Genomic DNA, 17,230 nt, shown 5'->3' on the forward strand with positions numbered 1-17,230 from the left:
CCCTTTGCTTGGAAGACAAGAGATCCTAGGTTTAGTGGGAGCCAGGTATTTCTAAGCAGAAAAAGGGAGAAGCAATTCACAAGGAAATACAATGAAGCTACAACCTGAACTATTTGATCAGGAAAAAAAAGAAAGAAATACATTGAATAATGACAGTCAAGATTGGAGCAGCTCTAATCCTAATAGACATGCTAAAGAATACGAATAATTAGTTACCTAAAAGAAATATGGTAGAAACATATCTACATTGTTTAGTAGCATCCCATTAAGTGAGGCGATACTTTTAGCCCGGTACTTTCAGAACATTTAACGTGACTGCAATCCAAGCAATCAAGACATTGACAGTCTTGTTTTTCTGAATGGAAGAATATGGTGTGAAAGTGGATCATACAAATTGGGTCATTCTTGTCATAACTAAATCAGAGTCAACAGGCCCGGGGTAGAAAGCATTCACGATACATTGCTCTCGAAATGTAATTCTCTGTAAGTCCAGCTGCTGAGATGACTTGCTGCAACTAATTTTGCCCACCACCATCGCCCACCAACTGAAGTTTGCCAGCTCCCTAAAGCTTTACTAATACCAATGAACTTTCTCTCAGGACCATATGTAACACTCCCATTTTTAGAAAACTCCCAACCTTCTCTTTGTTCTTTGGACATATTGAAGATCACCCAGTCTTCATGTATGCCCTATACATTTTTATTTTGACATTGACAATGACATTCAGACATGTTGCAGGGACATATGAGTACACTGCCAACATGTTTAGAGATGAGAGTTCCTACCCATATTCTTTCTGTATCCCATGTTTAGTCTAGAAAGAAGCTTAGTATAAATTCTACAAGCTGATGCACATTTTTACACACATTAACATCTCTGACATTGGGATAAGTCTTAAAATCAATAGCATCCTTTAATTGTAATTTCTTAGTGGTTGCGATATTGTTAAATATATATTTGGTCTTCATCTCTTTTTCTGGCATGCAACTCCTAAAATTCTTGTAATCTCCAAAGTGATAAATGACTCTGCATGCTAATGAATGGACCCCACAGCTGGGTGGGGGGCTGCTAGATAGCCTCAGGATGGGGGCTGGCCACTGGGAAAAAAAAAAAGAAAACCACAATGATTAACCTCTAGGGAGGGAGGGGAGAGGGCTTAAAGTTGAGCTGATTACCAATGGTCAATGATTTAATCAATCATGATCGCTAGCGAAGATGTCTAGGGGTCAGTTTTGTGGAACTAATCCCTCAAGCTGTGGGATCTGATGCTATCTCCAGGTAGACCCTTCTACCACCTTCATACAGAGCTAATACCAAATGTTTACAATGTCCTAAGAACTGCTCTAAATATTTCAAATACTAATTTAATCTTCAAAACACTCTCTACAGAAGACACTATTATTATCCCCATTTTATCATGAGAAAACCAAGACACCAAAAGGTTAAGGAATTTGCCTACTGTTATACAGTGGAAGAAAGAGGACTGAACTCAGGTAGTCCAGGCTCCAAAGTTAGCACACTGCCTGTCTAAGTGAAATACAAAGTAATCTCTGAAATTCACTTGCCCATTGGGAATCATTCCACATAACTGGTAGACCAAAAATTATACAGTCAAATCTGATTTTTTATGTTTCTGAGTCATGGATCTCTTCTAAAAAGAGAAGAATAGCATAAAATATAAATTTCCATTTTAAGAGTCAACAACCTAAAATAAGTCAGTGAGAAAAAAACTTCATACAACACCTAGGTAGATTCCTTTATAACTTCATCTGTCAAGGCTAATAATAAAGCACAAGATAGAAAAAGCTGAGACCCATATCACTTAAATCTAAGCACTAGGTCCTTATATTTTAGCTAAAGTGCTTCTCTCTCTGTGTGTGTATGTGTGTGTGTGTGTGTGTGTGTGTGTGTGTGTGTATAAACACAAAAACAACACAAAGCATTGTTATTGAAGGTCTGAATTAACCTATTCTAATATAAATACTTGGATAGCAATGTTCTACATGCAATCATCGACACACTACTCAGATATTACAGCAGGCAAATAAATCAAATAGTTGAATCAAATACCAATAGCCCATTTACAATGTTGGTTTTATACCAACTAGAGGTATCTAATAGTTCAAATAGCCATATACATGAGCTTCACATTTCTTTGATCTTTTCTCCTCTAAAGATCTTATTAAAAACACCACCAACTCAGGCATTAACTACCACAGTCTTATGATGTCTTTATTGTAGTAACTTCCTCTTCCCATAATTGAAAATTTAAGCATTCCACTCTTCCTATCACCATTTCCTCTTATGAGTACATTTCATCTAGTATCCTACACCAGCAATTTTTTAATTCCACAGGACCTACACCAATGACCTACCTGCAGATCACCAAATTTAATGATCACTTCTCAGTGATCAAAGGTCAACTCACTAGACCTTCCAGGGTATTTGACATAGTTGAGTTCTCCTTCCTTCTTGAAACATTGTCCTCAGTTGGCTTCCAGGACACTATTCTCTTTTATTAATCCTCTTTTCTTGCAGGCTATTTCTTAGTGGTCTGTTTTGAGTCCTCTTCATCTCTCCAAACTCTAAACACTGGATGACAGGACTCATTCTTCCAACCTGTTTTCTATCTAAACTTACTCCTAGATGATCTCATCCTCACCTGTAAGCCAACAACAAATCCTTTACTCCTCAACAACAGATTTATATATCAAAAATCACATCTGACAACTCCACTTGAGTGTCTAATAGGATTCTCAAGTGTAATTACAACTTTCTTGATATCCAACCCCCTAACCTGCTTCTCCATTACTCTTAGCCATCTCAGTTAGTGGTAATTCCATTCATTTACTGAATCAGGCTAAATACTAATCATCTTCCCCCTACTCATTCTGTCACATAGTCCATAATCAATACGAGAAAAAATTCTAGGCCAACTCTACCTTTGAAATAAATGCAGAATCTGAAAACTTCTCACTACCTCACTGCTACACCATGTTCTAAATGACTGATTAAATCACTGACCATTGGTAATCATGACCCTCATGCCTGGATTATTCAGATACCTCAATTGGACTCAGTTCAGCCTACTTCCCACATAAGATCCAAAGTGATCATGTGTGTAAAAAAAAAAAAAAAGCCTCATATTTTGTTACTCCTCTACTCAAAACCTTCCAGTGGTTTCTATCTCACTCAGGGTAAAAGTCAAAGGACTCACGCTGTCCTATAGGACAATATATAATCATTTCCTACCACTCCCTTGTTCACACCATTCCAACTAAATTGGCCTTTTTATTGTTCCTTGGACATACAAGTACACCCCCACCTCAAGGCCTTTGCTATATTCTCTTGATGAAAAGTGGTCCTCCAGATATCTTCATGGTTTTCTTTCTCACTTGCTATAAATTATTTACTCAAATCTTAGTTATCTGATAGACCTAAGCATTCTATATAAAATAACAAGATTCAGATTTTCTCTATTACCACCTTCTTCCTTTATTCTACTTTATTTTCCCCTATAGCACTAATTATCAGCTAATACATGTGCCTGCTATTGTGTTTAAGTTTTTAGAGTACTGGGTAGCCAACCACCCTTAGTTTCCATCTACAAAAATGAGAATGTCTGCATAAACCGTATTAAAATGAAAAAATATCATACTTCCTGAAAAAGAAAAGAGTATTAATGTTTTGGACATCTATGTCAAAAATCCAATCAGTCAAGTTTGCTAGATTATCTTTTTTTCTTACAAGCAAATTTTATTATGGGGGAAAAAAACAAACAAATCATAGCTCAGTTCGTCCTGAAGTAGTAAATTACTATCACAGCAACTTCCAGTCAATATGTCAGAACCAAAAACACAGGAAGCACATCCTTTTGCACCTGACACTTGGAAATGCTGGATAAAACGTTAGCACCATAACCACCGCCAAAAACTGCATGCTAGGCTCAAAAGCAAGAAAGAGATATCACCAGGTGCTATCAACACAGGAGATATTCAAAACCAGAGTGGTAAGAAACTAATGATAGGCAGTCCAAAGATATATCAGAACCAGATACATGCAAAGGCTGAAATATGGACAATCAATGTCTATACAGTCAGGAAGGCAGAGCTAACTCCCCAAATAAAACAAAGAACAATGGAGGACTGTCATACTGGTGAAATGGAATTGTGTCAAAAAGCCACCCAAAAGAAAATGGGCAGCACTGAGTGCTGCATGAAAGAATCAGAACTTCTAAAGGGATTTTTACTCTACAATCACTAAGGACTTGTCACATACTAGCAGACCTCTGAAAAGAAAAATAAAATAATTCTCTCTGTTAAAGATATACTTTTTCTATTGCTGAATTTTCTATTGTTTAATTTTTCTATAAAGACACAATGAAAATATATTATTTTTGAAAACAGAAAAAATGACTTTCCCCACCCTCTGGTAGAGTCGGGGTCTTGCTACATTGTCCAGGCTGGTCTTGAACTCCTGGGCTCAAGAGATCTTCTCACCTGGGTCACCCAAAGTACTTGGATTACAGGTGTGAGCCACCTTGCCTGGCCCAAAGATGACAATTTTTTAACACAAATATTTCACTATGCAAATCAACTAGGTGAAATAAATGACAAAATAGGCTTTGATAAAACAGGTCACAGATGGCTCAAGGCTAATGAATGAATGATATCCGTGATGAAAAGCAAAGACACTACAACATGAGCACTGTTTCAGGTTCCTGCAGGAGTGTGTGTGTGTGTGTGTGTGTGTGTATTACTGTGTTAGTGTGAGTATATAGAATTGTGTTTCATTATACTCTAAGTATGAATAGTTGCCTTTACAGTAGAATTGAAAATTTTCAGATTTACAAATGTAACAGTAATGAGAGTCATGCAATAGCACATAAATGGAAACATCAATAAATATAAAAATGCCAAGAGTAATCTGCACATAAACATCTGTTTGTCATACTTAAAACTTATTACACAACTAAGAGTTAATACTTTGTCAATGAAAAGGGATAAAATGTAAATCTTTAACTATACCTCTGAGAAACACTTCCTGAGTGTATCTGGGACTTTACCATCCACCACGTGGAGCATTCTTTCCATTTCTTCCCGTATAACATAGTTCCCAGATTCACTTGAAAAAAGACTAAAAATGTCTAAGAAAAAGAAAGATAGAATAAATTAATCTTAACAAAGACCAAATATACGTTGGTGGAAGTAGGGAGAAAAGACAAAGCTACAATAACTGAGTGATTACTAGGGCCAAGCACCTTATAAATATAGTTTATTCCTTAAAATAATCCAGCAACAAAAATTTAAAACAGCAGTGTAGTATCTTTTCAAACATGCCAAATTTGCAAAAATCTTTAGGTATTACAATACAAAGTGTTAGCAAAGACTAGGAGAAACAGGACCTCTTATACACTGTTAATAGGAGCACAAATTATTGCAACCATTTTCATGAGTAATTTGGCAAAATCTAGTAAAGGTCAAGAGACATTCCAGAAACTCCACTTCCATCTTTGAAAAACTCTGAAACCTGCGTACAAAATACAAGATGTTCACTGAAATACTGTTTGTAAGAGCAAAACTTCGAAAAAAAAAAAAGATAAATGTCTGTCAACAAGAGAACAGGTAAAATGAGATACACACAATGAAATACTACATAGAAGTTAAAATATGTGTTTCAAGATGGATAAATATCAAAAGATATAATATTCAGAGGAAAAGCAAATGACAAAATCATCTGTATAGTACAGTAGTACCCCCTTATCCATGGTTTTGCTTTCCAAGGTTTCAGTCACCTGTGGTTAACAGAGGTCCAAAAATATTAAATGGAAATTTCCAGAAATGAACAATTCATAAACTTTAAATTGCACACTGTTCTGAGTAACGTGATAAAATCTCTTGCCTCCCTCTTTATCCCACCTGGGACCTGAATGATCCTGTTGTCCAGTGTATCCACATGCTACTCGCCTGTTAGTCACTTAGTGGCCATTTTGGTTATCAGACTTACAGATCACAAGAAGGGTGAGTACAGGAAGATATTTTAACAGAGAGAGTGACCAGATTCACATAAAACTTTTATTATAGTATATTGTTATAATATTACTATTTTATTATTGTTAATATCTTACTGTGCCTAATTTTTAAATTAATCTTTATCATAGATACATATGTATAGGAAGAAACGGTATATATAGGGTTTGGGACTATCTATGGTTTCAGACATCCACTGGGAGGGTCTTGGAACAGATCTGTGCAGATAAGGGGGGAACTAATGTGTACCATTTATTTAAAACTTTAAACCTGCAAAGTAGTTGACAATGTTTAAGGACACATAAACATGTTGTATAAAAACCAGCATGAGAAAAAAATCACCAAATTCATGAAAGTGGTAACCTCTGTAGAGGGAAGAACAGAATGGGATCATGAAGGGATACAAAGAAAACCTCACCTTAGTTTTAATATTTTTAAAAAATCAAATCAGGGACATATGATACAATGTTAAGAAATAGTTAAGCTAGGTGGAGGTACGTATTAGATATATGTTTGAAATATTGTTGTTATAGGCTGAACTTTATCCCCCTAAAGATATACTGAAGTCCTAACCTTGAAGTCCCTGTGTATGTGAGATTATCTGGAAACAGAGTCTTTGTAGATATAATCAAGTTAAGATGAGGTCATTAGGGTGGGACCCAATATAATATGACTGGTGCCCTTATAAGAAGAAAAGCACAAACAGAAAAATAAAGCCATGTGTAAGAAAGGCAGGGATTAGAACGATATAGCTGCAGGCCAAGGAACCCCAAGGATTGTCAGTCATCCTAGAAGCAACAGAGAAGAAAGAATTTTCCCCTACAGGTTTCAGAGAAAGCATGGCCCTGCTGACACTTTGATTTTGGACTTCTAGCCTTCAGAACTATGAGACGGTAAATATCTGTTGTTCTAAGCTACCCAGTTTGTGGTGCTTTGTTATGGCAGCCCTAGAAAACTAATACAATCACATTTTAAAAAATGAAGAAACTTTAAAAATATGTGTTTGTGACTTAAAAAATTGTTACCAGTTGTACCTCAGTATCTGTAGGGGATTAGTTACAGAACCCCCAAGGACACCAAAATCTGCAGGTGCTCAAGCCTCATATAAAATGGCATGGTATTTTGTACATAAAAACTAAAAAAGAAAATCCTAAGCACCCCAACCAACTGAACAGACTCCCTGTCTTGGCCAAGGGGACCCCAGAAAATCCTTAAAAACAGATACTGGTCATGAGGGGATGGGCAGTCAGACACATCTCATTATATCCAATCCCTTTTGCAGTTTAGAGATGCAACAACTAACCAGCATTAAAAATAAAGATCAGAAGACTGACAGACTCTTTGTGGCAGAAAAATCCCAAATTGTAAACAAAACCTAAGCTATGCCAGGCAAGGCATTAAGTCATGTACCCCTACACTTAAAGAATAAACTGCCAGGTATGGTGGCTCATATTGGTAATCCCAGCACCTTGGGATGCCAAGACGAGAGAATCATTTGAGGCCAGGAGTTCGAGACCAGCCTGGGCAACATAGCGAGACCCCTATCTCTACAAAAAATTTAAAAATTAGCTGGGCATTGTGGTACGTGCCTCTAGTCCCAGCTACTCAGAAGGCTGAAACAGGAGGATCACTTGAGCCCAGGAGTTCAAGGCTGCAGTGAGCTATCTTGCCACTGTACTGCAGACTGGGAGACAGAATAAAACCCTGTCTCAATCAATCAATCAATAAACTATGTTCTAACTGCTACAATGTTTTTCCTTTTCTTTTTTTTTTTTTCTTTTTGAGACAGAGTCTTGCCCTGTCGCCCAGGTTGGAGTGCAGTGGCGCAATCTCGGCTCACTGCAACCTCCACCTCCTGGATTCAAGCAATTCTCCTGTCTCAGCCTCCCTAGTAGCTGGGATTACAGTCACACGCCCAGCTAATTTTTGTATTTTTAGTAGAGACGGGGTTTCACCATATTAGTCAGGCTGGTCTCAAACTCCTGACCTCAGGTGATCCACATGCCTCAGCCTCCCAAAGTGCTGGGATTACAGGTGTGAGCCATCACAACCCACCTCAAAATATCATGGCATGAGCCACCGTGCCTGGCCATTTTTCTTTTTCTCTAGCAGTTATTGAATAAGCACTGGCCTTGAGATAAGCAATATTGAAAACAGTTGCAGCTCATTCACCACCAAATGCTAACCTACTGATTCCTGTTCCACAAGCCGTAACTACAGCTTTGACTGGACAAGAGAGCTATTTCAGTAGCTATCAACAAGTTAGTGGTCTCCTGATAAGAAGACCACTGACCATGGACTGGTTCTGGCTGGTTTACAGAGGCTGCTCACTTGACTGCCTTGCTGTCCTTGTTTCACCTTTTGACTTATAGGGCCTAACTGTAATGCATTTAAATATTAAGTCTCCACCCCAAAGTAAACATCGGGCCTAACTGTAATGCATTTAAATATTAAGTTTCCACCCCAAAGTAAACATGGGACACATATAACAGTATGCATGTGTCAGGAACCACTTCATGAATATTCATGGCCCCTCCGATAAGCTGTTGAATATGTACAACTGGCCAACCTCTTCAGCATAAATCTCTGTTCTATTCTCCCTTGCACAGTACCTGTTTGGGGTATCTGCTGGAGGCTATGTTTCTCAGCCTGTCAAAATGGCCAACTTGCAGGCTATAACCCTTTATAAGAAATAAAGTTTCTTTTCCAAATTTATAGATATCATAATTTTTTTCAGTTGACACATATAACCTATCCACATCCTCCCATATATTTTAAATCATCATTAGGTTATTTATAATACCTAAAACAATGTGAATACTATGTAAATAGTTGTTATAGTGTATTGTTTCTTATTTGTATTATTTTTTTTGCTGTACTGTTACCTTAAGCTCCTAGCCTTAAAAAGATCCCCCTGCCTCAGCCTCCCAAATAACTAGGATTACAGGCATGCACTACCATACCTGTCCTGTATTTTTAATTATTGCTGCCTGGGGCCAATTTATATTTCTGCTGGTGAAGAAATGCTAATTTGCAAAAATCAGGATCACAATTATATTCCAATACATAAAACTGGGTTTATGGATACATTCATTATCTTGATTATGGTAATGGTTTACTGGGCATATACACGTGTCAAAACATATACAAATGTGTAACTAAGTATGCTAGCTCATGTTTGTAATCCTAGCACTTTGGAAGACAGAGGCAGAAGGATCAGTTGAGGCCAGCAGTTAGAGTCCAGCCTGGGCAACCTAGCAAGACCCTATCTCTACAAAAACAAAATAAAGAAAATAAATTAGCTAGGCATGGTGGCATGCACCTATAGTCCTAGCTACTTGGGAGGTTGAGGTAGGTGGATCACTTGAGCCCAGGAGTTAAGGGCTGCAGTGAGCTATGTGCCACTGTGCCACTATACTCTAGCCTGGGCTACAGAGTAAGGCTCTCTCCTCTGTCCCCTATCCCCTCCAAAAACAAAAACAAAACCACGTATCAAAATATATACTTTATATATGTGCATATTATTGTATGACAATTATACCTCAATAAAACTTTTCTTAAAAATGATCTCTTTGTCCATTTTGTGCTGCTATAATAAAATACCACAGATCTAGCAACTTATTATAATGAACAGAGATTTATTTCTTACAATTCGGGAGGCTAAGAAGTCCAAGGTCAAGGCACCTGCATCCGGCAAAAGGACCTTCTTGCTCTTCCATCATCCCATAGCGGAAAGCAGAAGAGCAAGAGAACACATGCAAGAGGGAGAGAGAAGGAGGCTGAATTCTTCCTTTATAAGGATGGCACTCCTGTGATAAGAAGCTCACTCCTGAGATAACAGCATTCATTCATTCATGGGTGTGGACCCCTCATGATCTAATCATCTCTTAAAGGTCCCACCTCTCAACACTGTTGCACTGGGGATTAAGTTTCCACACATGAACTTTGGGTAACGTGTTCAAACCATAGCAAGAATTAAAAATAATGGTCTAGATTCAAGAATAGGAGGGGATTCTGAGAAATTTAGAAGCAGTCTCAGGGCAGCAGCTTAGTCTGTTGAGGCTGCTGTAACAAAATACCATAAACTGGGTGCTTATAAATAACAGATTTATTTCTCACAGTTCTAGAGGCTGGGAAGTACACCATCAATTCGGTGTCTGGTGAAGGACCACTTCCTAGTTCATAGACAGCCACCTTCTCATTGTATCCTCACACAGGGGAAAATATAAAGGGTCTCTCTGGGGCCTCTTTTATTAGGGCACTTAATCTCACTCATAAGATACTTATGATTAACCCTCATGACCTAATCACCTCCCACAGGCCCCATCCCCTAATACCATCACCTTGGTGGTTAGGATTTCAATATATGAATTTTGAGGGAGACACAAATATTCAGACCATAGTAGGCAGATTAGAAAAGGAAGAAGGAAGAGAGAAAGACCCAGCATATGGTGTTCAAGAATAAAAGCAAAGGAATTTTGGGTACAAAATGTTACATTCTGTGTAATATAAACAGCTGCCATACTTCCCCTGGGAAATCTTCAATAAAATATGCAGGGCTTATGAATGCTTTTGGTAAGGCAGATCTGTCTTTGGGGAGTTCAAAGAAAAGAATGAGGGGACAGAAGACCTTATAAATAATTAAATGAATGAACTTTTTAAAAGTAAATAAATCTATATCCCACGAAACAGACGGACACTAAGCAACTAAGATTATCTTCCCTTTCACATTTAGCAGGGGAAATGGTGTCCTCTCATTATAGCATTTCCCTGATCAGCAGGATTTAAAGGTAATGAATAAGGTGCCACTCTTTTCTCTGCTTAGATAATTCACCTAATAAAATTAATTTCTGAAGTTAAAAGTAAAACATTAAAAAAATTAAACCTTTTACAAATAACGTATATAAAATGTTATCAGGTAAGTAAACTTTGGTTTTGTTTGTGAAACAAATAGACTACTATGTCTATGTCATCAGAATTTTAAAAAATAAGTTCTATTGAGACATAATTCACATCCCATAAAATTCACCCTTTTAAAATAAACATTTCAGTGATTTTTAAAGTATATTTATAAGGTTGTGCAACTGTCACTCCTATGTAATTCCAGAACATTTTCGCCAACCCAAAAGGAAACCCTGTACCCATTAGCAGTTGTTCTCCATTTCCCTCTCACCTGATACCTCCAGCAACCACTAATCTATCATTTTCTGCCACTGTAGATTTGCCTAATCTTGAAATTTCATATAAATGGAATCATAATATATGGCCTATTGGGACTGACATCTATCACTAAGCAAAATGTTTTCAAGTTCATCCATACTGTAGCATGAATCAGTACTTTATTCCTTTTTATACCAGAATAATTTCCAGCATGTGGATATATCATGTTTTGTTTATCCATTTACCAGCTGGTGGACATTAGGGTTGTTTCCATTTTCTATTATGAACAATGATGCTATGACTATTTCTGTACAAGTTTTTTTGTGTGTGTGTGGTAAACATATGTATTAAATTTTCTTGGGTACAAACTTAGGAGTGGAATTGCTGGGACACACAGTAACAACGTTTAACAATTTGAGGAGCCACCAGGCTGGTTTCCAAAGTTGCTGCACTACTTTATACTCCCATCAGCAATGTATGATGTGGGTTACAATTTTTCCACATCTTCCTCAACACTTATTATCAGGCTTTTTACTTTTAGCCACTCTAGTAGGTGTGAAGTAGTATCTCACTGTAATTTTAATTTATATTTCTCTAATGACTAATTATGTTGCACATTTTTTAGGTGTTTATTTACCACTTGTATATCTTCTTTGGGAAAATGTCAATTCAAATCCTCTACCTGTCATCAGAATTTTGAGATAAATTATTCTGTACATAGACGAATTATTTTTGAGATAATAAAAGTACTTACATTTTGCTTTCTCTTCATCTTTGCCTCTTGTAAGGAGGACAAGTCCAACTATTAAATTATTGAAGTGCAGCCCTTTGGATGTTCCACCAAAAGAACAGTAAATCACCTGGAAAAAGATGATAAAGCCAACCTTAGGAGGCATTTCAGTTGTTGAGGAATCTGAGGCAGCTATCATCTTTAACAAATTTTATCTCCACCTCCACAACAGGCCCTGGTAAATTTTAGTGAAATCATGTTAAGTTTCTCCCTCTTCTTCCTCTTTTGGACCTTATTATTGCACTCAGCCTAGAATAGACTGTGACTACTGTAAAATACGTACAGATGGTCCTCAGCTTGATTTTTCAACTTTACAATGGTGTGAAAGTGATACACATTCAGTAGAAACCATACAGTACTCCATAAATTACATAAGATATTTAACACTTTATTATAAAATCTGATTTGCACTAGATGATTTTGCCCAACTGAAGGCTAATGTAAGTGTTCTGAGCACATATATATAAATATTTTGTTTGTTTATTTATTTATTTATTTATTTATTTATTTATTTATTTGAGATGGAGTTTTGCTCCTGTCGCCCAGGCTGGAGTGCAATGGCGTCATCTTGGCTCACTGCAACCTCCACCTCCCAGTTCAAGCAATTCTCCTGCCTCAGTCTCCCAAGTAGCTGGGATTACAGGCCACTTGGGATTACATGTGCCACCATGCCAGGCTAACTTTGTATTTTTAGTAGAGATGGCATTTCACCATGTTGGCCAGGCTGGTCTCGAACTCCTGGCCTCAAATGATCTGCCCACCTTGGCCTCCCAAAGTGCCGGCATTATAGGCATGAGCCACCGCGCCTGGCCTGAGCACATTTAAAACAGTCTAGGCTAAGCTCTGATGTTTGGTAGGTTAGGTGTATGAAATGCCTTTTCAACTCACAATATTCCCAACTTACAATGGGTTTATCGGGCTGTAATCCCAGGTAAGTAGAGGAGTATCTGCATATTACAGACCCACACAACTGAATTATTTATTCTTTCTCTTGGGAGTCCTTATCAAGGTCCAAGAGTACAAAGGTCCTCCAATAGCCACAATAATGTGATAAGAATTTTGTGCAATTACACAACTTCCTTCAAACCTGGGAAAACTTACGCACATTACTTTGATTGGAAAAAAAGATACTCTCTAACTGAATGTTCAGAAATTCAAAGAGACTCAAAAAAATATTTTTTAACACTCTCAGAAATAAGTATTATAGTAATCAGAAATAAAGAAGAAAAACTATGCATAGGAAAGGGACAACAGAAATCACAATAAATTCACTCATTCAACAGTTCTTTGTTGAGTGCCTACTATCTGCCAGGCAAAGTTTTTGTCAATAAAAATGCATGATTAAACAATAATTCGAGAAGTTAGTCAATATGAAAACTGAAAATATATATTAGTCACCAAATTATATTTATAAATATATTTAATAACACCTGACAACTGATGTCAAAAACTATCTATCTCTAGTGCCAGTGATAACTCAACCCAGCAAAAACTAGCCAAAGGAAATAGCTACAGAACATTAAAAGTATTTTTTAAAAAACCAAATAAACAGAACTAATACACTTTGTAAAATAACTATTTTTAGTTGCCCCATCTCCCACTCCCAACTAGAAGAAAATAACAGGGAAAAACAAAAACAAAAACACCTTTATCCCTGGGGAAGGGCAGGAAAACATAATGGCCCCAGACCTTACAGATCCCCTATCACTGGGAAGAAGGAAGATCAATGTAAAAGTGTCACCCCTAATATCCAGGGACACAGCACCTGCCTAAAACTGAGACAGAAATAGGACTACAGAGAATGTCTTTGAGGTGTGATAACAAATAGAAGGTAACATCAAAAGTTGAAGGTAGAGCAAACATTAGAAAAAACCTCTAAGAAAGAGCCCTAACCCCTAAAAAAAAAAAAGTAACCCTAGAATGGAAATTGAAGTCTCTATAGCACTTAGGGTAACCATAGCAACAAGACCAAAATTAAGCTAAACTATAGACTATATTGACTCAACTTCCCAAGCTGAAGGAAGATACTACTTGGCTCAGTCTCTTCTGTCCTATATGAAGCACTTATGTTTCAACCATAAATTTTAAGTCACAGAAAGAAGGAAAAACCCAATATATTGTCAGAGACGAAGGAAAAATATGCTAATGGAGTTTGAAGAATGCTTTGGAATGGCTCAAGAATAAACTCAACAGAGTTGCATAAGAGATTATCCAAAACGAAACAAAAGGGGGAAAATGTGAGGAGAGCGGGCAGGGGAAGGTAGACAGAACAGAAAACCCAAGAGCTGTGAGATCATATCAATGATGTAACATTCAAGTAATCCTGATATCCTACAAAAAAAAGAGAATGGGGCAAAATAAATATCTGAGGAGATAAGGTTGGGGATTTTCAAAATGAATAGACACAAAACCACAGATATTAAGAAGTTCAGAGAACAAGCAGAATAGATCACACCTATAATCCCAAAAACCAACTAGACAAATCACATTGAAACTTCTCAAAACCAAAGATAAAAAGAAAATGTTTAAGGCAGCCAGAAGAAAAACAAAATTACATTAAAAAAAACCCAAAAATTATAGCTGGATTATCATCAAAAATTATGTAAGCCAGAAATCAATGGTGTGAAATATTGAAAGCACTAAAGGAAAAAAACTCAACCATAAGTTCTGTACCTGGTGAAAATATCTTTCAAAAAGAAAAGATATTTTGCTTCCCTTTATTTTTTTATTTTTTTTTTTTACGGAAACAAAAACAGAGAAGTCATTACCAGCAAAAAGGGGTACAAGAAAGTACCTCAGGCTGGAGGAAATATTATGCCATTAGAGATACATGTACCTCCATAAAGAAATAAGAATACTGGAAATGGCATAAATGAAGGTAAATATAAAAGCATTTTTCTTATTTTTAATCACTGTGAAAGATTAACTAGCAGTCTACATCAGTAAGAGAAGAAATGTAAAGTGTCTTTATAGAATATGTAAAAGTAAAACACGTAACAATAGCACAGAGGATGGGAGAAAGGAATTGGAAGTATACTGTTGTATAGTACACATAAATGTTGTCTATACACCATTAAATGGTTTATTATACCAATTCACATGTGGTATATCTCATCTTTAAACTGCCAGTCACCAGGAAATTACGTGACCTTAGTAATCTAGTGTTTAAGCCTAACATTGACCTCATTAATAAACTCTTATTTTTATAATAAAAGCAATAGCTAATATTTAAATGCTTGTTATGTGGCATTTTACTACTGTAAGTTATTTACCAGTATTAAGCCTTTAGATGACTCCACAAGGAATACTGGTATCCTCATTTTAGGGCTGGGGGAAACCAGAGCCCAAAGAGATTAAGTAACTTGTCCAAAGTCATACATCAATGAAGCAGCAGAGTCAGAATTTTAACCTAGGAAAGACAGGCTTCTGAAACTGAATTTTTAACCAACTTTTAGTTCTATAGTACAATTAATATGTTAGTCTGTTTTGCATTGCTATAAAGGAATACCTGAGGCTGGGTAATTTTTATAAAGAAAAGAGGTTTTTTTGGCTCACGGTTCTGCAGCCTGTATAAGCATGGCACCAGCATCTGCTCAGCTTCTCATGAGGCCTCAGAAAGCTTTCACTTGTGACAGAAAGTGAAGGGGGAGCAGAGAACAAGCATGTCACATGGTGAGAGAGGAAGCATGAGAGAGAGGAGGAAGTACCAGGCTCCTTTAAACAACCAGCTCTTTCATGAACTAATAGAGTGACAGCGCACTCATTACTGTGGGGAAAGCACCCAGGCACTCGTGGGGATCTGCCCCCATGATCCAAACACCTCCCACGAGGCCCCACCTCCAACATTGGGGATCACATTTCAATATAAGATTTGGAGGGGACAAATATCCAAACTATATCAATTATATACATTCATTTCTAGTTAATTTGTCTAGAATTATATGAAAGACATCATCAGCAAGACATACATCATTTTGGTGAAATCTCCTGAAGATTAAACAAAGAAATTTCAAATGGTAACAAATTCAATTTATAAACACTGAGTTTTTGGCATCCCTTTCCATTCACTGTATCTTGATAATCCAGTCTCTTCACTTTTGACAATTTCACTGACTTTAATACAAAGAGTAAAGCAGTGAGGGTAAAATTAAGGAAGAAATTTTGAGTAAGGTATGACTTTCAGTTTTGCAAGTACTTGTAAAATGTAACAGATTTTGTATGGAATAAATTTGTTTGGAATATACTGCTACCTCCCTATCGCTCCCAAAATACAAGTACAGCAATAACCTAGAATCATCCAGTTCATTTGACAAATGATTAAGAGGAAGCCCCCAAAAATCACCATTTCCTAAGTTCTAGGATGTACATATTTTCCGCCTTTAATCAATGTTTCAGAAAGCAGTATGCATCTAACACCTCTAATGTCTAAGTACCCTTTTTTCACTCAAAAAGAAAAAAAAAGGAAAAAAAAGAACAACTATTTAAATGGTCACCTTATAATAGGCAGTCCTTTAACATTTAGAGAATATTAAGTGCCACACTCATTACTAATTAGCTTTCATTTTCGGATTTAGAAGACGGAGTGTGAATAGGATAGCAAGGATGCTGGCAGTCCAGGGTGGTCTTGATGTCATTTTTTGAAAAGCACTTAATAAAGGTAAAGTGTTATTTATATAATTTGTTGCAAGACTTTTGTTTTAAAATCCCTATAATAATTTTCTGGCCGGGCGCAGTGGCTCATGCCTGTAATCCCAGCACTTTGGAAAGCCGAGGGGGGTGGATCATTTGAGGTCAGGAGTTCGAGAGCTGCCTGGCCAATGTGGTAAAACCTTGTCTCTACTAAAAATACAAAAATTAGCTGGGCGTTGTGGTGGGCGCCTATAATCCCAGCTACTTGAGAGGCTGAGGCAGGAGAATCACTTGAACCCGGAAGGCAGAGGTTACAATGAGCCAAGATTGCACCACTGCACTCCAGCCTGGGCAACAGAGCAAGACTCCGTCTCGAAAGAAAAAAAAAATGTCTTTAGCTATTAAAAAAGGAAAGGCCAGAGCAATCAGGCAAGAGAAAGAAATAAAGGGTCTCCAAATTGGAAAGGAGGTCGTCAAATTAGCCTTGTTACCAGATAACATGACCTTATATTTAGAAAAACCTAAAGATTCCACCAAAAAACTGTTAGAACTGATAAATTGAGGAAAGATTGCAGGATAGAAAATCAAAATACAAAAATCAATACAATTTATATACATCAA

At 37.0% G+C, this 17,230-nt stretch overlaps 1 protein-coding gene across 12 annotated transcripts in view, besides 1 other annotated feature; it reads right to left on the reverse strand.

Moving 5' to 3' along the window:
• Positions 1-17,230, reverse strand: part of USP32 (ubiquitin specific peptidase 32) — a 245,090-nt gene that overhangs the window by 112,328 nt on the left and 115,532 nt on the right. For 9 of the 12 annotated variants that reach the window (XM_011525372.2, XM_011525371.2, XM_011525376.2 and 6 more), the window contains 2 exons: positions 11,945-12,050; positions 5,029-5,147 (listed from right to left, as the gene is read on the reverse strand). In XM_011525372.2, the coding sequence (XP_011523674.1) occupies positions 5,029-5,147; positions 11,945-12,050 (225 nt within the window). Of the gene's footprint in view, positions 1-5,028; positions 5,148-11,944; positions 12,051-15,252; positions 15,611-17,230 lie in introns of those variants that run through there. The other 3 variants (XM_017025233.2, XM_011525378.2, XM_011525379.4) reach the window with 2 other exon arrangements.
• Positions 15,496-15,545: an enhancer, noted in NCBI's record as "active region_12528". NCBI's record gives its function as "activates an Ori minimal core promoter by ATAC-STARR-seq in GM12878 lymphoblastoid cells {active_cell/tissue: GM12878}" and the evidence as "EXISTENCE:reporter gene assay evidence [ECO:0000049][PMID:35858748]".

The sequence above is a fragment of the Homo sapiens genome, chromosome 17 (genome assembly GCF_000001405.40).
Source record: "Homo sapiens chromosome 17, GRCh38.p14 Primary Assembly".
NCBI classification, from domain to species: domain Eukaryota; kingdom Metazoa; phylum Chordata; class Mammalia; order Primates; family Hominidae; genus Homo; species Homo sapiens.